This window comes from Homo sapiens, chromosome 8 (genome assembly GCF_000001405.40).
Source record: "Homo sapiens chromosome 8, GRCh38.p14 Primary Assembly".
In the NCBI taxonomy this organism is placed as follows: Eukaryota; Metazoa; Chordata; class Mammalia; order Primates; family Hominidae; genus Homo; species Homo sapiens.
In genome coordinates, this window is record NC_000008.11 from 90,451,465 (window position 1) to 90,475,813 (window position 24,349).

The following is a 24,349-nucleotide window of genomic DNA, read 5'->3' on the forward strand; positions in this document are numbered from 1 at the left end:
ATGCAGGGTTGCTGCAAACCTTCCACTTTTTTCTTTTCCTTTTTTTTTTTTTTTTAACAAAAAGGCAGTATCTATGAACCACAATAAAATGAGATATGCCTGTAAATCACTGTCTTTTAGTTGGAATAATGCATGGTTCTCAGGGGACCTAAAAACAGTTTCTGGGCTAGAAATTTGGCTGAGATAGTAAGGAAAACCTGAAATAATATTTTAGAGTAAAGCAAGATCAATAAACAGAGTTAGAATTCAAATCTGGCACAATTCGATGTGGAACCAGGTCCTCCTTATAGCACCCAGCCATCCCTCTTTCATGGTGCCTGTTTCAGCCTGAGACACAATACGGATGTTCACTAAGGAAGGGACTATAACGTAGGCTCCTTGTGTTTCCATTAGATGAATCAGTAACACGCAGAGTTGCTGGTACATTCTGTAGTTCTTTGCACTGAAAATTTTCACTACCCTTAAGATTTAAAATACACCACTATCAGAAGGTTTTCACCTGGACATAGTAACTCCTAATAATTGCCCTGACAAATTTCAAAAGAAGATCAATTCTCTAACATATAGGAGAGAAGAAAAGCTTACATCAACCTGGGAAGGGTAGCAACCTCTTTCTTTACTTCTTCATTCCTTCAATGTGTATTTACAGGGCATCTATTATATACCTAATACTTTGATAAACTGTAGGAATAAACCAGTGAATAAGTCAGATGTGTTTCAACATATGAGGCTTACATCTGATAAAGAAGACAAAAACCAGTAGCAATATTAAAAGGAATATTCATAATTGATCCAATGGATCTACTCAAAAATGGCTGTGGGTTTTTCTAGGGAGTGTTTGTCCTCTGTAATAGGAAGACACAGTGACACAGCCATTCCTTCTTTTAACAAAATTTATTCACCATCTACTGAGCACCAGGCACTGTGTTTTTTTCGAGATATTTGGACATCAGTGAAATGCAGTAGTCCTGCCTTTTTAAAAGGAAGCCAAATGAATGCTAACCCTCCCTGAATTAGCCACACGTTGTGTAATTGAAGACTATGTTGTCCTTCAATTTCAATAAGAACTGCAATGGGTCATTGCAGAGCATGACATTTCTCCCTATGAGATATTATCATAAAAACCATGACAGGAACATGAAATGCCAGTGGCCTTAATTTCTCCCATGCACACTATATCCACACATAAAACGCTTTGGGTAGAAGTCATACAGATGTGAACCCACAGCAGGATGATTTTGAAGTTTCTGTCAAAGGAAAAGAAAGGGAGATAATTGTTTTCCCATTTACGGGCAGCCTGTCCTTGGGTGGTCTCAAATCCAGCCTCTGAGCTACAGCTGGGCAGGGCAGGGCCAACCCATGTCCACTGCAGGAACAAAGCCCATTGTGCTGGCCTTCATGCATCCTTCACAGTAAGGCTGGAAGTAGAAAAAATTTAGACGTGGATACCCTGCAATCCAGAGAAATGATTTCTTTTGAAAGTGCCTTGGTCTAGTTCAAGCAGACAATGCAGGAATTGATTTCCTGTCTCTCCAGTCCCTCTTGTCCTTCCGTTAGCTCCTGCTGAGCTAATGGCTCCTCTTCTGTGGTGCCCATGAACATCTTTCCTATTGTGGTGACAGTTTCTGTTTAAGTGTTGGTCTCATGCACAAAACTGTAATATCCAAAATCTATATAATAGGTACCACCTGCCAGGCACTTTTGTAAGTGCTTTATGTCCTTTAATCCTGACAAAAACTCTATGAGAAAAATATAATTTCTATCTTAATTTTATAGATGTGGAAACTGAGGCATAAAGAGGTTAAATAGCTTGCCCAAGTAGCACATCTAGTGACAGAGCTAGGATTTGAAACCACATGCAACTACACAGCCCCTCAGTAGCATATAGAAGCCACACAATAAATATTTATTAGCACTCATTTGGTCATTTCACTCCACTAGTTCCTGCAGGGTTTTTTTTTGTTTGTTTGTTTGTTTGTTTTTGAGATGGAGTCTTGCTCTGTCACCTAGGCTGGAATGCAGTGGCGCGATCTCGGCTCGCTGCAAGCTCCACCTCCCAGGTTCACGCCATTCTCCTGCCTCAGCCTCCCAAGTAGCTGGGACTACAGGCGCCTGCCACCACGCCCAGCTAATTTTTTTTTTTTGCATTTTTAGTAGAGACGGGGTTTTGCCATGTTAGCCAGGATGGTCTCGATCTCCTGACCTCACGATTCGCCTGCCTCGGCCTCCCAAAGTGCTGGGATTACAGGCGTGAGCCACTGCTCCTGGCCGTTCCTGCAGGTTTTTACTCTCCAAGGGGTGATCTCAGTAAGTGGTTTCCTATGTGACTGTGTATCAGAATGACCAGAGGAGACTTTTAAAACTGTAGTTCTCTGAGAATGGCATTTGACATTTTATGTTTTTTTAATGTTCAGAAGATGATGATTTGGCCGCATGGGAAACAATGGTACTAGACATGATGAAAACAGTGGAGTTGGCACTGGCCCTCTCTACCTTCCCTTTCCAAATCCCTCTTATATTGACAATGCCTCTGCCTACTCCTAAATATCCCTGCTCAGGCTCACTCTCCTAGAACCTTAATCTTAGCCTAAATAATCTTTCCTAAAGTGTTGGAAGGTAAGGAACATACTTCCTAGGACTCCAGTCTAGGAATCAAGATGTTATCTTTCATTACTAGCCACATAATTTTAAGGTATTTCAGAGCATTTCAGAGTTTGTCTCTTCATTCGTAAAATACAATGAGATAAGACAATGACTTATACTTATATTGTCTAATATGGTAGCCACTAGCCACATGTAGCTATTTACATTTAAATTAATTAAAAATTAAATAAAATTTAAAATGTAGTTCCTCTATTACACTAGTCACATTTCAGGAACTTGATGGCTACATGAGGCTACAGGCTAACATAATGGATAGACTAATATAGAACTTTTTCATCAGGCCACCAAGTTCTATTGAACATCATGAATCCTATGCTCAAGTGAGATCAGCTCAAGTGAGACCAGATATCTGAAGACCTTTTCATTTTCGCCACCCTCAAATGAAGGCATGCAAGGTATGTAGCCATCTTTATTTTTCTATTATTTAACTTCATTTTTCCTTTGTGCCCTCATCAGCCTTTCATTTTAGGCAAATAAAACCCTTTAAATTTGGAACACAGGCACTTTGGAATTTTCCCCTTGAAATGCTTCTCCTTCAGATAGCACATAAGTTTTAGGCATCATAACAATTTGGGCTTGCACCCAGGCCTCAACACCTTCTAGGCTGGAGCCCCTCCAAGAACTAATCTGTGTTAGTGGTACCCTTTAATTAAAGCTTGTGTGTATGTATATATGTGCATACATGCTTATGGGGTAATGGGATGGAATGACAGAAAAGGGAGAGGGTATAAGAATCCGGAGAAAATTGTTTCATCTGCTTTGCACTTTTTGAACGATACTCCATAGATAGTCACCTACAAAGCATCAGGGAACGTGTATCTGGGTTCTATGGGAGTGAGTTCTCAAAGTCATAAAAAATGTCTCCCACCTATCAGTTTTCATTAATGAAAATGTCAGGACAGCTGAATAATTTTCATAAACCATTCATTCAAGGTATTTATTAGCAAGAAACAAATTGCTGTCTTTTTATTTTTTGTAATCATTTATTCATAATGCTAGCCTTTGGTCAGACAATGGCCTCTTTTAAAACACAAATAATCAACATGTTCTGAATCCTGGACATATTCTGTTTAGGGAGTTGCTTCTTATGATTGGCACTATCACAGCCTTGCTTCAGTTTATTACACTGTTAGTAAGTGGAATCACTAAAGCTGTCACATCAAAAGCCTTCTGGATTTTCAGAATCCTTCACTAGCATTCTTCTCTGACAAGAAATGAATTGTTCTTTTGTTGTTGCATAATCTGATTGACAAGACTAACATGAATAGGGTCTATTGCATGGAGGAAATTAGGAACCATTTCTCTTGTCAAAATTTCTGTCTTTGCTTTTGTCTTTCCTGTCTAAGCACAGATATGGTCACAGTAAGTAGTGGGCAGCCTACAAAGGCAGTGGTGCAGCTTAAAGAGCACACGTCATCACCTTGTTTTCCTGGGGAGCCATAACCTGAAAAAGAAGGGCAGGGTCCATGCTATAACTATGAAGCTGCCAGGTACCCTTCAAGATGACAATTTCTGTTTCTACCATTCTTTTCTCACTTTCCATCATTTCATGTTAAATAACAAAGGAGTTCTTGTGGAGTGTTATATAAAATTCTGCGTGTTAAAGAGACAGATTATAAGCCTTTTGTATTTTTCTCTCACCAGTATTAGCAATAAGTAAGACATTTCTAGGAAACAAATTTAGGAACTATATGTCACTAAGAAACAGTAACCCACACTATGGGCAAATCATGTAACCTCTTCAGGCAACAGTGTTTTCATTGGCAAAGGAGTTTTGAAACAGCTATTTTGCAGAGGTCTTATAAGTAATAAGTGACAAAAATGGGAGTGAGGATTGCATAGTAGGAAGAACTCAGAATCTGGTTTCACACAGCACTGGATCTGAGTGCTAGCTATACTACTTACTAGTTTCATGATCTTGGAAAAATTACATGAATCCTGCGAATTTAATGAGGAAATGCTTACAAAGCATGAAGCACAGTGCCTGGCAAAAAACAAATTCCCTGTGTTTGGTAGCTGTTTATTATAATTATTATTACAAAAAGTATGTGAAAATATCTGACACAACATATGTTACATAGAAACACAAAAATAGTGTTTTCTTCCTTTTCTAGTTTTTTTCCCTCCTTTTTTCCTAATGTATATTAAGGTTTTGACATTGGAAAATGTGTCATGGCAAATGTTCTAACTAGTACCCTCAGTGTCTCCTGGTGCAGGAAGCAAAAATCAGATTATCAGTTCTATCTTGACAAGGACAATATACTATTTTCTCATTAAAATCTTATGAGAACAGATAGACCAGCAAAATGTGTATTTCAAGTAATATTAGTTTGTTTGTAATTCTTTCTCATTGGCTGGTCCTGGTTTTATTAACAAATATATTTTCTATTTTTTTAATGGAAATATTTCAGGCCTTTTAAAACTGAGGATTTTTTCTCTGGAAATGGTTAATTAAATCAGTGAGGAGAGAAAATATTAACAGGATCTACTCAAAATATATGAAAACATATGTCCACAAACAATCAACCAACCAACAAACAAAAACTTGAAGAATAATAATCTTCAAAACATTCTTCATAGTGGCCCCTAAATGGAAAAAATCCAAATGGTCATCAAAAGAAAAATGAGTAAGAAACTGTACTATATTCATACAATGGACTACTACTCGGCACACAAAGGGGAATGAACTACTGATGAAGGCATTAACATGGATGAACCTCAATATATTTATGTTGAGTAAAAAATACAGGAAGAAGGAAGTACATATTATATGGTTCCATTTACAGAAAGTTCTAGAACAGGCAAAACCATCCATGGTGATATAAATCAGGATGAGATTGCCTCTGGGAAGGGAGAGGGAAATAATCGACTTGAAAGGTCATAACCCAGAGAGTAACACAATAAAATATAACACAATAAAATATAAGTGCTCTCATAGGAGACACTGTGATATTTTAAATGATTGCTGAAAGAACTAATATTCTTAAGAATAAAATACTATGAAATCCAGGCCCTCTGGGCTTTTAATGATGAAAAAAATATTCTGTCTTCTGGGGAACCCAAAAACTAACTTTAGTCTACTAAGTGTCAACAAAGTTGTAAATGTCAATTAATGAACTGTCAATCTTGACTCATAGCCTCAATATTTTTTTAGTTGTTCTTTGGGACCAGCATTGATCAAATGAAGAAGCAATTTCCCAATTCCTTCTCTTGAACTTTTATTCTCTCTGGTTTATTTTGTAATTGACTTTTATTTTATACATGTTAAACCACCCTTTTCCTTATAACTTAAAGACAAGAATATAAATTTGAATTATAATTTACATTTTCTTGAGATGTTGGCTAGATAGACAGCTTTAATTTTTCTTTCATTAATGAATACTTAAATTTAGTTTATACCTTTTACACAAAGACACAGGTAGGATTTAGGAATGGATTTTATTCTACTTTCAAATATTGGCTTTGTCATTGTAATTCTGTATTTGTCAGGTTCAGAAGTAGTTATGTGACTTTTGAGCCACCTGGTACCACTGCTTTAGTTTGGGAGGAGCTGCAGAAATAGAATCCAGCGTTTTCAGACCAATCATTCCTGATTCTGACTTTTAGTTCAATCTTAGACATCTGTCATGTGAGTTTACAGTGAGAAGATGGCCATCTATGAACCAAGAAGTAGGCATTGTCCAGACACCAAATCTGCTGGCACCTTGATCTTGGGACTTCCCAGCCTCCAGAACTGTGAGAAATAAATTTATGTTGTTTATAAGCCACTCAGTTGGCTGGGCGCAGTGGTTCACGCCTGTAATCCCAGCACTTTGGGAGGCCAAGGCGGGCGGATCACAAGGCCAGGAGATCGAGACCATCCTGGCTAACATGGTGAAATCCCGTCTCTACTAAAAATACAAAAAAATTAGCCGGGCATGGTGGCGGGCACCTGTAGTCCCAGCTACTCGGGAGGCTGAGGCAGGAGAATGGCGTGAACCTGGGAGGCAGAGCTTGCAGTGAGCCGAGATCACACCACTGCACTCCAGCCTGGGCGACAGAGGGAGACTCCATCTCAAAAAAAAAAAAAAAAAAAGCCACTCAGTTTATAGTATTTTGTTAGAACAACCCAAATAGACTAAGACAGACATTTGTGTATAATTTCTGACATATTAAAATGGATGCAACATCAAAGACTAAATTTAATTACACTAGAAGTAAGCCAGCCATGTATTCAAAAATTGCATGTGTTTCATCAAATGTTGAGTTTTAGAAGGAGCTATGGACCAAAAGCAAGACTTGTAACACAAGTCTGAATTTCACCCCTTGTTGGCTGTGTGAACTTACACACTTCCTATAAATTCTCTAGGCCAAGTTTCATAAACTTTCTTTCTTCCCAGTAAGTTAGGGTTGAGGTTGAAAATTTGGGCATTAGGTCAGGTAGTCTGATTATGGATAAGTTATGAAAGCTTAATAAGTGATAATGGTGACATAATATATTACAAAACACTTAGCATACTGGTCAATAAAAAAGTGGTAGCTATAATTATTGTTCATAGCCATTTAATTATTATTCATAACAAAACAATATAGAATTACATAATTGGTACTTTATCATTATTGCAGAAATGTGTTGACTGGAATAATAAAATCACTAATAGCATGGATGTAAAGCTTGGCCAAACACCAGGCCTGCAGTGACAACTAAAGAGAACTTGTCAAAAAGATACTCAAGAGGCTGCTATTCAGGGAACCCATAGGGGCACAGCAGGATTCACTGTTGCAAGGATACCACGTTAAGTACAGGCAGGTATTATTTGCCAGCCCAATTTGCAGCAATCAGGACTCAGCGATGGTCTCCTAGGGCCAGTCATCACTGAGATGTCTAGGCCCTGAGGCACTTGGTGCTGTTGCTACCACATGTAACAAGAAATAAAGATACTTGGTGGAGACTTTGCAACATAATGTACCCAATATTTTAAATCTTTTATTTTGCAACATAAAATACATCACATTTTACCTACCTAAATCAATAGAGAATGTTATTTGCTGTATCATATATCACAGCCACCAAGGTTGGATGATGAGCTACAGCCAAGAATTCCTACCCAGGGTGGGAGATTGGACCAGTTGGAATGTAAAGATTTCCTCAGACTCGAGATTCTGTGATTATATAATCATTGAAAGTTCAAAATTATTTTCAACTAAAGCAGTTATCATGAAACCTGTCACCAATTACTAAGTTCTACAGTCACTACATATATATACGCACATATATTAATTAATTAAATATATATGTACTTAATTCTGGAAAGAAAAAGGATGCAGCTGACTCTAATTGTGGCTGCTTGGATGAGAGTCACACGTGAGTTAGTAAACATGATGCATGGTTTGAAAAAGCGGATTAAGCTCTGTTAGAATTAAATGATTATTTTCTTGGAAAATATGTTAGTGACAGGTAAATCAAAATTAGGTTGCTGAGTAAGGCCCCAGACTACACTAAAGGGCTTTGACAATACTAATCAATATTTATTACACTATATTGACTTTAAAAAATTAAATTTTAAAAAATTAACCACAATGAAGTTAGGATACATCTTAAAAGCAATGACAACTCAAAATTACCATCAGTCATGGGATAGACATGATACAGTTGTGTGAAAACCTTTTGGTAAGATAAAGAAAACTCCAGCATCAATATGTATGAAATTTGATGAAATACAGGTCAGTGCCCAGGGGTATAATGTGGCAGTAATGGGAGCACTATGCAGAATGTTCCAGTCTGCTTGTTCTTTCCTGAACTGGATGGGCTTTTTGGGCAGTAAAAGAGGTCATGAAAAGTTTGTTGTAGACAAAACACAGACGAGCACAGTGGGTAAAGTTGTGGGCTTTGGATATAGAGAGCTCACTCCAAGTGCCTCTCCTGCCATTCACTAGCACTATGTATTTGCCATGCTCTTTAATCTCTGCACATCAGTTTTTTTTTTTAAGTGGAAATGCTAAAAATAGTACTTAACTCATTGATATGTAAGAATTAAATAAGATTATCCATTTCAGAGTTTAGCTTAGTGGGACACAGTAAGAATTCAATAAATATAAGCTCATTGAGCTTTCTAATGCTTTTGTGCAAAAGCCATATTTAGGAAACAAGGCTCAAGGGCTGCGTCAGCTCCTGCCTACGGAGTTGACATTTGTTGACTCTGGACACAAGAATGGAAATGTGAAAGTACAATTTACGCAAAGATCTGATTGAGTTTGTGGACAAGCAACCCATGACATAATTTTGATAGCTGATTATTGCTCAGTAAGTGATTTGACTCTTGAAAAAGAATGCTTTTATTAATCCACTGTTAAACTGCAATTATTAGCTAGTATTGAAATTTATATTCTTCCTGTTAAGTAACCCCCAAACCTAAAAATTTAGACCAGAACCAAATATTTCAATTTTTACAGCACACCAGTGCTGTAAAATACTTTGTCTCATTTAGCTTTAGGTCAGAATAGCTACATATTGCTAAGGCAATGAATGATGGTTACCAAGTGTTTATAAAGTCCTTGTACAAGTTTAAAATCAAATAACTTTGAATGGACACAATGGAGACAACTGTAAGCACCATATGGAAGCATATGATTAACATGCTAATATTCTGAATGCACATTTTAATGTTTTATTTTATTCACAAATCATACACAATGGCTGTGAATACTTTTTTGAGAGCGCACCAGTTGGTGAATATTCTTTCATAATGTTGCAGTATTTCTTTATTATGAACCATGAAAATGGGGCCTTTCCAACAGCAACTTCCTCAAGCAGCAATGTGCTTACTTACAGGATGCTTCAAATATGCAACAAAAGAATGATAATGACTTTTCAAGAGGAGCGAATTTGTAGGAGGACAGAATTGCTTATCCATATACTTTCACCCAAGCTTTCCCATTTGGATAATTTCTATTTCAAGGAGTTATCTTAACCCTATGAAATGCATCATAGCCATAAAAAAATCAAATGCTTGAGATCAGTAACTCAAATTTAATTCAGGACATAGCATCAACTGGAGAGTACTTGAGCAAGTTGGAAAATCAGAATTCAAGGTGTTTTATTACAGATCTCACAGTGTGCAGTTCTCACTAGTTATTCACCTCCAGAAGGAAGTCCATCCTCTAGGAGGCTCTTCTAAACATGCATAGGCATAGTGTGGAAGCCATCACACTCTTAATACCACACTATATATTTGAGGCTTTGATCAGATTTAAATAAAGACAGTATTAGAATGAAAACCTTACTAGATTTTATTGTTTGTTACCCATCAGAAAGCAGAGCAATTATACACAAAGCTACATATTTGAGCCATGGTCTTAAAAAAATCTGTAAAGTATATGTTCAAGTGACATTCACAACTTTTTTTTTATCAGGAGTACATAGGTGTTTCTGAAACTCAATTTCACATATTCAATACACTACAACCTGAAAGGACACGGATTTTTCTGCTTGAACATAGCAATGAAATTTCTTAGCTAAATCTTTTAGGCACATGTTTTCCTTCTAATTATAGGTGTTCTAATATGTACATTGTTATTTTACTGCTAAAAAATTACCATTTGTTGAGCTATTACTATGGGTCAAATGCTGAGTTAAGTGCTTAATGAATATATTTGCTCGAAAAATATCCACAATGTCTCTATGAGGTGGTTATTTCTTTTATCAGATGAAGAAGAGTAAAGACTGTTTAAGCAGCCTGTTAAAGGCCAGCCATGAGGCTATAACTGACAGAATGGAGAGTCAAACCCAAGACTGAGATGGCCATGTATACTGTGAAAAAGAATTTGGGTTTTTTAAAAAATGCCGTGAATATTAAGCAGGTTACTGAAGGTGTTTTGGCAAGAGAGAAAGAGAAGAGAGTCTGTATCTTGAATATACCCAAAACCCCACCTGCAGGAATGATAAAATCCTTGGGCTAGAAAAAACATGAAGCTCATTGGCACAAAATGTCATGATGTTCATCTTTCCAGGTCCCATGTCACTCTCTGCTACAGAATACTAGCAATATGTACTCCTTGCTTTCCTAGAAGAACATGATAATAAGATCTTTCTGCCTCCCTTTGCAGTATTGTTTGCAGCCACTCATCACCCCACTGGCTGCTCCCCAGACACCTGAGTAGCTTTCTGTTCCACACACTCGCCAGTATCTTGTGTATGTATTGCAGGATCTGTATACACAGTTCCCTGTGCCTAGACTTGTTAGCACCTCTTCGTCCTTCAGATCTGGGTTGTCCTTCCCCAGCATTCTATTTTCTCTCACAAGGTCTTAGTTTGAGTTCCCCTGAGTTCCTCACTAACCTATGAGCCCTGAAACAATGAGAACCCAGATTTTTGTGCATCATTGTTTCCTTAGCAGCCTGACCATGTTTCCTGGCCTGTAATCAGAACACAATAAATGTTGCTGACTGAAAAAATGTAATTGATTTAAGCTTCCCTACAAATCTTTCAATTTATGTTAATTGTGAGAAGCTCAGCATCTTCTCAAGGGCTTTTTCTCATCCCCGCAGTGGAAGCCTCTTTAAGCAAGTCTCTCTTCTCTGCATATGTAGGCTTTAGCTCTGGGGAACCTCAGCCTTCTCTGTCTTCAAGTTAGGGGTGATCAACCTACAAAGTACCTTGTGTCTTCTCTGAGAATCACATTCCTTTTCTGCTGGGATTCTCTTTACCAGAAGAGGTGGATTCACTCCCCAGTTATCGAGGATCACTTGTGCAGGAGTCAGAATTGTCATTCTCATAGTGGCATCTTTGATCATTCAATAGCTTACTCTTGGACCCATCGTACAAAATTAAGGAACAAAATAATCCAAAAATAGTCATGGTTTGCACTGTCTTCTAAGTTTCAAGCACAATAATTAGGTATGGGAGACTCGTGCATTCATCAAACCTCACTAGACATTAGGCTCTTGGAATGCTAGGATGACTTGTCATTCTCATCCTCCTCCTCATCATCATCACTGTCATCACCAAAAATAACAGTTATCATTTTTAAACACCTACTATGTACAAAGGACTGTACTAGAACTTTTATCTATTTTGTCCTTACAACAGCTTTATAGAATGGGCATCAGCCCTCTTTGAAAATGAAGACATTTCTGCTGAGAGTGAATTATCTAGCCCAGGTCACTGAGCTAGTACATGAAAGGGCTGTACTGCCTTTCATCTTTTAATACCCAGCAGCTAGCACAATGCCTGGCATGTAGCAGGCACTCACCCAGTAGAAACTGAGTGCCAGGGCTTCACCACATGCTGGGATACAGTGAAACTCAAAATAAAGTAAATGACCCCAACCTCTGCCTGTCATGGGCTACTTTACCTGTGCCTACAGCCACCCTATGCTATGCTAGACCTGGTTAACCAGATAGAGAGATAACTTAGAACCTATATTATGGCCACCATAATATAGGTGGACATAGGGCATATGACATTGGTGGAATAACATAGCCAGAAAGTATTGGAGGAGAGAAGAGATGCACAGAAAGAAATGATTGGAGACAGAGACACTTAACCTCTGCTCTCTCATGACTCTCCAGAAAGGCCTCCACACACTCACATCACACAGAGAATACAGATCATTTACCTACAATGTTACCAGAACCTTATGTCCCCCAAAACAGGGTTCAAGACTGAAGAGAACATATACAAAACAGGAAGAAAAGATTATGGAAGGCAGTGGGAAATAGAGTTAGAAAAAGTCAGCCTCGCTTAGCACATTCCTTTGTAAGAAAGTTAAAAAGTGCAGAATGGGGCAATGGTACACTTGATCATGTCCATTGTTGTTTTTAATTGGATTTTTTGAAAACAAGTTCTAATTTCATTGAAATTTCTGACTATTCTTGTGAGGTTTTCAATCTTTTCTCCTGGTCACTTCTTTTATGTGGTTTTTCAGAAGATGTAGTTTTATGAAATAACTAGCTTCACAGTAGAGTTACGTCTTTTTTTTCTTTAAGAAATTGCCTTTGATCTTGATTTCATAATAGTTAGGTGAAGTGCTAAAAGAAGTTTAAAAGTTCATACAAATTGGAAATGAAAAAAAAATCAGAAGTTGTAATCATTTTCTTCACCTTTGGAAAGACCCCAGAGAGCTCCCAGTATAAACTTAACTGGAGGCTATTATTATGAGCACTCTAGGAGAATGAGTTTTTACCCAATTCTATCATTTTTCTGGCAGGTACTTTTTTTCCAAAGCCCTCCACAAAATGAAGTGGGTATTTTAAAGATAATCCTCAGTTCTATGAGAGTAGATAATAAATACTTGTTGAATGAATGGGTCAGTTATTAATAATAAAGGGTAGAAGACGAGACAATAAAAAGGGGATAATTGAAAAAGCATTATATTTGTTATTTCATCATCCTTTAATTTTTACAACAGAGTTGTGTGCATCCCCTACTATGAGTCAGACACTGGAAATGCTGCAGCCAGAATGACAGCTCACACAAATATAAGTGCGAAGCATGTTCTGAGCATTTACATATGTTAATTTACTTGATCCTCACAATGCTATAAGGTAAATACTCTTATTATTCCCATTTTACATATGAGGACACTGGGGCACAGAAGGGTTAGGTAACTTTCACTGAATCACACGGCCAAGAAGTGGCAGCACTGATATTTGAACCCAAGCACTCTGGCCGCAGTGTCTGTGCACATAGCTACTAGTCGGTACTGCCTCCAATAAAACCAACAAGGTAGTCATGAAAACAGAAACTATATTATCCCTGCCCTTGGGGAAATTATATTTTATTAAGAGAGCAAAGCAAAGTGTATAATGACAATAGAGCATGGTAGTATGCTCTATGAGTGTAGTGAGCAGAGGATCTTACAGAAATATCAAGGAGGATGTCAGATTCCATCATGAGAAGGGGGTGAACAGTGAGCAGGAGTTAAATATGCAGAGAGGGGAGAAGAGTTGGGGTTTCAAGTGTGGAAGAAGCATTTGCAAAGGCACTGAAGTAATAAAGCTAGAAGACTAAGGTAAGAAAAACAATTCAGAAAAGCTTCAGTGAAGGGTCTGACAGTGCTGAGAGATGAGACTGCAGAATTAAGCAAGTTCCACGTCGGGAAAAGCCTTATAAACCATGCTGTTAGGCAGGCTGCTGCTACCAGCACCAGTCTTTGAAGGACTTTATACAAGGATGTATGATTCAGTCAGATTTTCATGGAGACCTTGTAAGATTCATCTAGAAAAGTGTGGAGAACAGGTTGGAACAGGGCTGGATGGGGAAATGTAGGAAGATATTAAGAGGATTTTGCAATAAATACCTGCAAAATGATGAGGGCATTTTACATGGTTTGGCTATGACCCCACCCAAATGTCATCTTGAATTGTAGCTCCCATAATTCCCACATGTTGTGGGAGGGGCCTAGTGGGAGATAATTTAATCATTGGGGCAGTTTCTGCCATCTTGTTCTTGTGGTAGTGAATAAGTCACAAGATCTGATGGTTTTATAAGGGGCAACCCCTTTCACTTGGTTCTCATTCTCTCTTGCCTGCTGCCATATAAGACGTGACTTTCGCCTTCTGCCATGATTATGAGGCCTCCCCATCCACGAGGAACTGTGCGTCCATTAAACCGCTTTTTCTTTATAAATTACCCAGTCTCCAGTATGTCTTTGTCAGCAGTGTAAAAGCAGGCTAATATAACATTAAGTCTTAAAAGTCTTATATACTTTTCAGTGAGGCTGTAGGCTGTAGAGAAGTGACCCCTTCATGGTAAAAGCCCATATTTCCCATGTATTCTTTCAATTACTTTTGATAAGAATTTTCTTAATAATGACATTTATCACACATCAGATTTTTCTTACAAATAAGTCTGTGCTTATGCATAGATGGTAATATGAATACCCAAATCTAGACTCTATTTGTATACTATGATACCACACTTTTCTTTAAGTAAGTGGAAGCCTTCTTGGAGGTCTTTTGTCAAATTAATATTTTAAATTGTAATGGGAATTCAAAGGTAAAACAAAAGAGATAAAGGATGATAATATTTAGAAACAATGATCAAATTCCCAACTTTTGGGGATTGAAATGGAAAAAAAATCATGTTTGGGGGAAAGTGGATTATGTTAACACAATTTTAGGTTAATTTATCCATCCTTTCCTTTTGATTGCTCTGGGTTTATAATGTGCTTCCATCACTTTATACTTATATCAAGGGCAGGAACACACCCTTTCTTGGCTACATTTAGCACATCCCAGGCAAGCTGTATGCATTCTACCCCTCATGCTGTGCTGCTCTCTGAGAAGCGGGAGAGCAGTTATGACTATTACATGCAGAGAAGAATTTCTTAAACTTTCCAAAATAGCAGTGTAAAAATGTGGAAATGTTAACAGGAAAGAAAAAGAGTTGTATTCTGACAGTAGGCGTAATTTGGAAAGACGTATTTAAGTAATATCATCTATTTTTATAAAAGAAATAAAATAATGATGCCTGTTTGCTGAAAGAGACATCATGTCTTCAAAACAACAAACATATAACCCAAGCATACCTGGGTAGAATCTGACTTTGAAGCTCAGGGTTCTGTCTATTTTTTGCTACTCTCCCTGTAACCTAGCTAATCAAGTCCTTATTGCCATAGTGAGTATAGTCATTTGTTTTTCATAGTTATTCTGAAACAGTAGTATCTAATTTTTTCAATAGATGTTACTAAAGGCTGCTTACCTAAAATAAACTTGTACTCTGAAATTATTTATGGCCCCAGATTGTAAATAAATAGATAGATGGATAGATAGATATAAATATAGATATATAGATATAGATGTTGTCTGATATATATTATCCACTTTAAATAGGTTCATTAATGGAAAATAAATTATCTAGGGAAAGCTCCATATGATGCTTTTTCTGTGTTAAGCCATTTGTTATCTGCTCCAATTTGATATTTCTAGTGTCATTAACATACCCATTTTAAAGGATGACTGGCTTTGACGTTTTTTGGTGAAGTGTTTCATAATAGAGATTTCAGCCTTGCCCATCATCAGTACTAATTTAAGAGTTCTGATTCAGAGAAATATGTGTTCATTACAAATCTAGGCTAGAAATGCTTTCACTTCAGTTTTCTCATCACAGGAAACAAAGCGATGGTTTTCATCAACTTGTTTTCAATATATTTGAATACTTTCATAATTTTCTAAGAAGACATATTCAAATATCTTGGCATTTGTGAATGAGACCCTTCACTATGTGTTCTAAATATACTGTCATTCCTTTTGTTCCAATCTTTTGGATCTTTTATATTACCACAGAGCTAGTTATAAACACAAAACAAGGTCATTTCTTACGAAATCTGAGTTCAGTGGCCAGCCTGCCTATTAAGAAATCAGGTGAAGGTGAGGGAGATTCTGATTATTAGCATGTAAATAACAATTAAACCACCAGAGAGAGCATAAGAAATATTGGTACATTTCTTATAAAGAGTATCATGTAGGCCACTGAGAGGTGTAAGCTAAGCTCATATTCATAAATGAGAGCACTGAGCTATCTCTATACTGATTAATACATTAAATTGAGTCATAATCAGAGGGTTTCATAAGACTTTCTCCTTGAAATCCTGAAAGAAATGCTGCTAGGACCCACATCATGAACTTCTCCTTGTGTAAAAGAGCCAGAAGATCTGTAATTAGTCAGACACGATGCCTGCTTTTTACAAAACATGCATTTCCAATGACGTCAAACCAAGTGAGATTGCACAAGGGGCTCTCACTTCCTGTGCTTGTGAGCATGGCTTTCAGCGTGTGCTAACCACAGCTCCTAAGTACATGGCCCACATTGAGTTTCATCTGTGTCTAGATTCAAGAGTAGATTTTAGCAAGGGGGCAAATTGAGCCATCAATTAGCAAATCCATCCCATTCAAATGGCAGTGCCCATTGCTTCCACCAATGTCCAGGGGTCAACTGTGTGTCTATGCTAGGGCTGTGGCACCCGATGCAGCCACACCTCAAAATGCCTTCTCCTTGACAGTTCACTGTGGCACTTTTCCAGAGTAATCTGAGATATGCTAAGGGAGGCACTGACCTCCTTTTGAAATCCCATAAAGGGCTAATTCACTTTTTTTTTCTCTCTCTCTCAGACCAATTTCTGAGCAGCAAGCATTCAGTGTAAACAGAAGTCTGGAAATAAAGACCAATCCTAATTCTTCATGATTAAAAATTTACTCACTCACTAATTTTTGCTGCTTCTTATCTTCAAAATATCTAGTCAAATTTTCAAGTTTTAGAGACAAACTCCAACTTTATATCATTTAAAAAAATTTTAGGATAGCCTAGTTTTTGTATCTTAATTAGGTTACCAGATCTCTATTCTTTGCTACATAAATCCTACTTCATATATTTAACAGTACTTTAAACATAGTAACAATACCTTATATTTGTGCTACGTCTGATTTTTTTTAAAGTACCTTCATATACATTGTCTCAAATAATCCTTACCTCTCAAAACCAAAACATTAAGCATTAATTTAATTAATGAGACAACCCCTTTCATTTTGCAGACATGTATACAGACATGTAGAAAGATACATGACATGCTACATAGCTGTAAATGGCAGAGCCAGGTGCAGATTTTAGTCACACATACTCTTCCCACTAATTTAAACATTGTACATTTCAACATTTTCATCTTTGATGTATTCTTAAATATGAATTGGGTGCAGAGATAGACCTATTTGTTGTAGCAGCATCTTTCTTCTGTTAAAAGATAGTTAAATTCTAGAAATGTTATTATTTATTTTATTAGTGTCTTAAATCTGCAAACTTCTTGAGACATTTATCTGGAAATTCTGAGTACATGTTTAGATTTTCTTTTTATTTTCTATTGAAATTTCCTTAGTTTGCTATAAATATCTCAGTACTTTTCATAAAATGTATTGGTTGATTCAAGCCATAAAAACAAAAATAGAGTCAAGTGAGATAAGTTTATTTTTGTTTGTTTTGTTTTTGAGACAGAGTCTCACTCTGTCACCCAGGCTGGAGTACAGTGGCATGATCTTGGCTCACTACAACCTCCAACTCCCCAGCTCAAGCAATCCTCCCGCCTCAATCTCCCAAGAAACTGAGACTACAAGTGCATGCCACCATGCCCGGCTAATTTTTTTTTTGTATTTTTTGTAAAGATGGGCTTTTGCCATGTTGCCCAGGCTGCTCTCGAACTCCTGAGCTCAAACAATCCACCCGTGTTGGCCTCCCAAAGTGTTGGAATTACAGGTGTAAGCCCCCGCATGTTGTCATGCTATGCTACTTGTACCAAGAGGTATTGGGACTACCAATGTTTGTTTAGAAATTTATGCTGGCTATTTAGTATCTAATGGCTATCACTCAGTTTCTATTTATTACATTTCTAAACTGAGCTTCCTTTCTTTGTTGCAATGGTTGACACGTCAAAGGCTCAAATTCTTCCTCTTTACCATTCTAAGGTATTTTCTTTAAGCATTTAAGCTGTTCCTATATTTGACCAACTACTAGCTCTGTACTTGTATTTACCTTTTTAATAGTTGATAAGATACATTTTAATAGAGTTAACTCAAGTTACCATAATTTGCAGTATTCTCATCTATTCTGCTTAATTCATTTTTTATTGATAAAGGTAGGATTTTTAATAGCGTGGCATTAGCTACAAGAGCATGATTTTAAGTCAACGTAATGGTTTCTAATTTAAGAAAAGTATGAAAAAAGAGGTTTAGAAATAAAGGTTAGTTTTGTTTTAGGCCAGAATTTTTCACTGATTTAATAGTAATGCAGTCTCTTCCCAGTGGAAAGGGAGATTAGGAATCTAGTAGAAAGAAATGTAAATATACCATTTGGATTTTATAATGTTAATGTCATATTTAAAGGATGGCTACTCCAAAATGTTACATACCCTTATTCAAATATAGGAATAAATCTTCATAAAAATAAAATAGTAACAACAGTATTCAGAAATTGGCAATGACTTTTGATAGCTTTACCTATGATCCTTCCAATTGATGAATAACTTGACTCAGATACAATTTTATAATCTCTACTGTCAATTTATCATAGTAATAATTTTTTAACTTTTTCTTAAAGTTGTAATAATTATTCTTTTTGAAGTTTCATTTATATTTACATGTACATTTATGTATTACATTTAAATTTCAGAATTAGAATATTCTTGACATAAGTTATTTTATACATGGTGAAACTCTTAAAAAATAATTCTCAAGCCTTAGTATTTCATATAATCTTTCGATAGGGTTTTATATGGCCTGTAATTTCTTATCTTTCAATTATTTGCTTATGAACTATGAATTTAATTTTTAATTCTTTACATCCAAGGACTTGTTTATATAGGAATGGCTATTTCAACTCAATACCACCTCTTTATTTTGAAACAAACATTAACCAATGCACAGTAAATTACCAATGCACAGTAAATTAGGAAATAAATATGATAGTAAAGCAATCATATGATGAAAGTCACATGGGATTCTCCAAATCATTTTTCTTCCTCCTTTAGCTTAGAAGCCTAGAAGGTTGATGATTCTTCTTAGAATGAAACTATCCTCCGAAGGTTACATTTCTAGGATTCAATTTCTGCTCTTGTGAAAATAATGCATTCTTGAGTACTATGAACTACATAAACTGACAGTGTCTTATCTACTTGTATTTATTAGTTTTTAATATGTAAGAGCTTTGCTGTGGTTTATTGTTATATGATTGGTTTTGTCATCTATATATCACCAAATACCTTTCCATTCAGAGACAACTTGGAGAACAGTGGTGGGGAGGCCATATTTTATGATACTTTTATGCTTCTCCAATCTGTATTAGTAATAGACTGCTTCTGAACTCAAATTAATAAAAAGTCCTTGCTCAAGCAAATTTTTAATTATCACTAAGCTTATTAGTTTGTACTTTTCCTGAGGAAGACAGACCACTGTTTTGACTTACAGACCATAATGTCCTAGGTCTTGCAAACTAAATAAGGATTCTAATTTTATCATAAAATATTGACTCAAATTGACTGGGAGATATTATATATCACTTATAGAAACCTATGAATTAGCTATTTCAATTTAACAAAAATATTTCTTGTCAATCATTGATAAAAGAATCAATATAACTGTGGCAATATTTTTTAGATCTCAGTTCTCTTATTTTCTCATTGAGCAGAGATCCTCAGAGGCTATTTTTCTAAGACAGAGACATGGGAGTGTGGAGGCCTACAACACCACAGGGATGATTCAGTGCTCAGGAGAGCACGATCCACAGAGGATAGACAGTATGTGTTGCTTTTGGTCATAATCTGAGTAAAGAGGTTCAATCATCGTTGTCTTTGGCCAGGAGAGCATATGCGTTTCTACTCACTTATTCCATAAGGAAAGATCAAGGTCAAGGACAAGGACATTTTATTTAACTCCAGTTTTGGGAACAGTGCTTTCATTCTGATGAGCAAGTCAATCAGTTAAGTTCAGAGTGCATGTAGGGTATCCTGTGCTCTATTTCTTTAGATTTTCTCTTTTATATGTAGCTGGTGACAAGGTGCAGTGCTCTTCACACTTGTTTGCAAAAGGAGTGAACCAAAAGCTTCTCTTCCCAGGATGTGTGTATGGTGCTCCTGTGCGCATACACACACACACACACACACACATCAAATGTGAGGTGCAAAGAGTAGAGATTTGGGGAGCAGGTGAGAAGAGGAAAAGAGGGCTCTGTTCCTCCTTTGTTTTAGGTTCCTTAAATAGAACTCTAGTCTATGCACAAAAAGCCCTTTTCAAGGTCCTTTTCAAGGTCTCTTCTCACATCTCCTGGGACCCGGAGGAGCTTATGTGTCCTGAGGCTGACAAAACATCAGTTTCATCTCTCTGGAATCTTGTATTCCACACTTCCTGTGATTCACTTTATTCTACAATGATGTAGTCAACTTTACAGTGCCATACCTCACAGTGGAAACTCCTTGGTTAACAGCTCTCTTCCCTATGACACTGTAAGTGCCATAAATGAGGAGCCATGTCTGTTTTGTCCTATGAGGGACCCTCCTGCACACAACACAGTGACTTACAGGTAGCAGATACCCGGTGTAATATTCATTGAATTAATAAGAGTTTAAATAAAAGATGCAGGATTTAAACTTCAAACTTCTCATTCTTTCACTTCCAACAGTCTGCCTATAGCATATAAGCCCTTTGGATCCCTCTGAAATGTCACTTCTTCACATGGACTTTTCCTGACCTCCCTATCTACAGTAGCTGTCTCTCCTACCTTCCACTGCCACCCATCATTCTGTACCTCAGCATCCTGTCTTCTTTCCTTCGTGACACTTATCAACTCGTTTTCTCATCCACCCTCCCTCCCTTCCTTTCTCCCATCCTTCCTTTCTCCCAACTCCTTCCTTCCTTCCTTCTTTCCTTCCCTCCTTCCTTCCTTCTTTCCTTCCCTCCGTCCCTCCCTCCCTTCCTTCCTTCTCTCTCTTTCCTTTTGCGATTTATCTCATCCACTCCTACTGTGGAAGCACCATCAGCATGAGGGAAGCGGCTTATTCCCTCCTGTTCTTGATAGCGCACCCATCATCTAACTCAATGCAGAAGCACAATTAGAATAATACTCCTAGTGCTTACTTTTAGGTTAAAATACTGCGATGAGAATGCAACATTTCTGGAAGCAAAAGATACGTCTGATTTTGGAAAATGCATGGTTCTTAGCCCCAGTGGAAAACAAATACATCACTCTTGCCCATAGATTAGGGCAGTTGTGAGATACGATCTCAACAATATCTCACTCTGTCTTTCCCTTTTCCTGGTCAGTCTGAAATATACTAGCTAAAGGTAGCCATCTATCTGCCTTCAGGAAGAATGCAGTTATGTGAAACCATATGCTATTAAAGCACAAATAACTTTCTCCTACATGATTCACAAGCTTGGTAATCTTATATAAAAATAATGTAAATCACCCTAGTGCTAATGAAAGAGTAAATTATTAAGTATTATAGGTGTCAGTATGCCTAAGTGGGTTCATTTTATTTTCTGGAACACCAAACATTATTTCTTTCTCTCCAACTGAGAATTTATATGCCTCAGAGTAGAAATTACTATTTTAGGAGCTCTCAGAGGATGAGCATTTGTTTACCAAATACACAACCACTCTCTTGCACATCCAACTAACATTGAATTGGGTTGTCTCTTTTTCTCCTTTTTGACATGACTTGACACATTAGAATGTGACAAAAGAATTTATATTTGGCAGAAATTCTTGCTCCATATTTAATTACCCTGTCCATACTAATGCCACATTTGAATAAACAACCAATAGCCCAAAACCCTGGAGAAGATTTTAACATAATGTATGAAGATTCTGTCAAGTCCACCTTTGAAGTTGTCTCCTCTAATTATTAGAAACTTACCACTGGTTTCAGTATAATCACTATGGGAGTTAGAATGTATTACACAGCAATTTCAGTTCATGGTCAGTAGTCATGGCAACACAGGAGGATAAATCTTAAAATAAGAAATAATCTCCAAGGGCAAGAGTTTGCATCTTGCTTCCAGATGTTTGCAATTTCATTTTTGGAAATAAATAAGCTATTTGGGTTTTTAAAAGCCTTAAAAATCTATTTTGAAGGTACAATGTTTAATTTTTTTTTCAAAGTGAAAAACTGCACCATGTTTTCTAAATAGCACCGTATGCTAAATTTTCTTTATAGCTTTTTGGATACTTTAAAAATTTTCTCATTTAAGAATTACACCAATTTTTTTCTCTAATTCACTCAGTCAATAAAAATTTATTGAGCACTTGATTTGTGCCAGACACCTTGCTAGACATTGAGAATTCAGAGATTATTTTCTTTTGCTGACTTTGAATATGAACAAGGGATGGTTCTATGTATGTAGATTTAGGAAACATTAATATTTGCTATATTTGTGACACAAATCCTCAAGAATCAGAAGTATTTAGTTGAAGAAAAAATAAAGAGACAGAATTATTCTTTATCTGTAATATGCATAGAATAGGATATACCATATATAATTATATTTTTAGTTTACAAGCAAATTTAAGTAACAATTTTAATTATTTATTGCCTGGTACTATTCTCATCCACTGGTACCTTTGTCCTGGAAGGAAAAACCCTGTGTCATGCTTACGGAATAACATCAAGCATTGTGAAGACATCGAGTTAGTAAAATGTGGGTACTTTTAGAAATGTAGTGGAACTTAGGTGATTCTGCCCTTCTGCTTCTCTCCTTGTACCCTCTCTCGGGTATCCCAAGAATACTCAAGATGTTCCTGAACAACAAAACAAATCTATAACATTGTTAAACAATTCGAACAACTCATTCTACATGCTCTCCAATGTTTTCCAATTTCCTGCTGAGTATGTCCATTTGAAATGTTGCCAGCACCCCAAGCCCAATTCACTTGAATATCAAAATAATGGTCTCTCCTTCCTCCTCTGTTTCCTGAGAACGGCCATATTATTTGCTCACAGCATATTCAACTTCTTTCTTACTCATATTTGCAATCACTCGCCACTCCACACACTCTTCCCATTCATCTTTTCTCCCATGTGATCTTGACAACCACAGTCCTATTAGACCTTTATTATCAACTTATTCCTACATTATAAACTTTGAAATGAATCCTCTTGCCTCCATGTTTATTTTTCTTTCCTCCATCTGCACACTACTGTCAGATCAATCTTTCTTAGTAGAATCTCTTAAATAAGCCAATTGGGAGGTGGGTGTGTGGAACTTGTAGACCCATGACCCATTTCTCTGACTAGGAATATGTCTGTATAATGATGATTTTGTTTAGGACAGGGGTTGACTGCAAAAAAGAGAGATAATGCTTGAGGCATGAGTGGATACCTGAAGTGGAATAATAGCTGAAGGAGAGAAATCTAGGGTGAGCAGGAGAGATGGAGAGGGCTCACTTCTTAGAGAGTCTGAACCACCAGGTCTGCCCCTTGTATAAGAAAGAGGGAAGCAAGAACCTGTTGGAACCTGTGGAATTTAGGCTCTTGAGTTGCTTCTCTCCAGTACTTTGTGAGCAGCAAACCTATACAAAAGGCTAGAGGAAAAGAATATGAACAAGTTTGTTGCTAAGCATATGCAGTTTACTCCCTGGGACCTCCACAATTAATTAGCCTTGGAGGGTGGTTCTGGAGTTCCTGAAGAAGTGATGGTAGAGACCATATACTAAAAAATCAGCTGTTAATGTACACATTTTGATCAAAGGCTGGTGACGCCTGGGAGAATATGCTTACAAATAATTTTTGAGGCCACTTTTCAATTTAACAAAATAAAATCGATTGTCTGTAGTACGAAGTTCAAAATTTTTATATTTGTGTTTTTAAAGTCTTTCTCAAACTCATTCCAATTTGCTATTCCATACTTGTCATCTCAATTTTCCCACAGAGTTCTATTGGCTCATTTCAAGGTTAAGTTATTAAATGCGTCTTCAATGTGCCGGGGACCATGGAGGGACTAGAAATACAAAGGTAGATCAGAATTCCTGTTTTCAGGGAATACTCAGTGAAGTAGGGGAAACAACTGTCTAATCAGTAATTACATTGCAACGTGATACATACAACAAAATGTGAATGTGCAAAAGACATAGATGGACCAGAAGTGAGAATGGCTTGGAGAAGCCTTCACAGAGGATGGGACTTCCGGCCTAGCATTTACACACCTGTTTGTTTTTCCTCATGCTTCC

General features: G+C 36.9%; 1 long non-coding RNA gene across 2 annotated transcripts in view, besides 1 other annotated feature; it reads right to left on the minus strand.

The window, feature by feature from the left end:
• The window catches only part of LOC124901975 (uncharacterized), a 267,232-nt gene that overhangs the window by 156,356 nt on the left and 86,527 nt on the right, over nucleotides 1-24,349 (minus strand). The gene's annotated exons all lie outside the window — the stretch shown is intronic.
• Nucleotides 16,224-16,343: an enhancer, noted in NCBI's record as "active region_27612". NCBI's record gives its function as "activates an Ori minimal core promoter by ATAC-STARR-seq in GM12878 lymphoblastoid cells {active_cell/tissue: GM12878}" and the evidence as "EXISTENCE:reporter gene assay evidence [ECO:0000049][PMID:35858748]".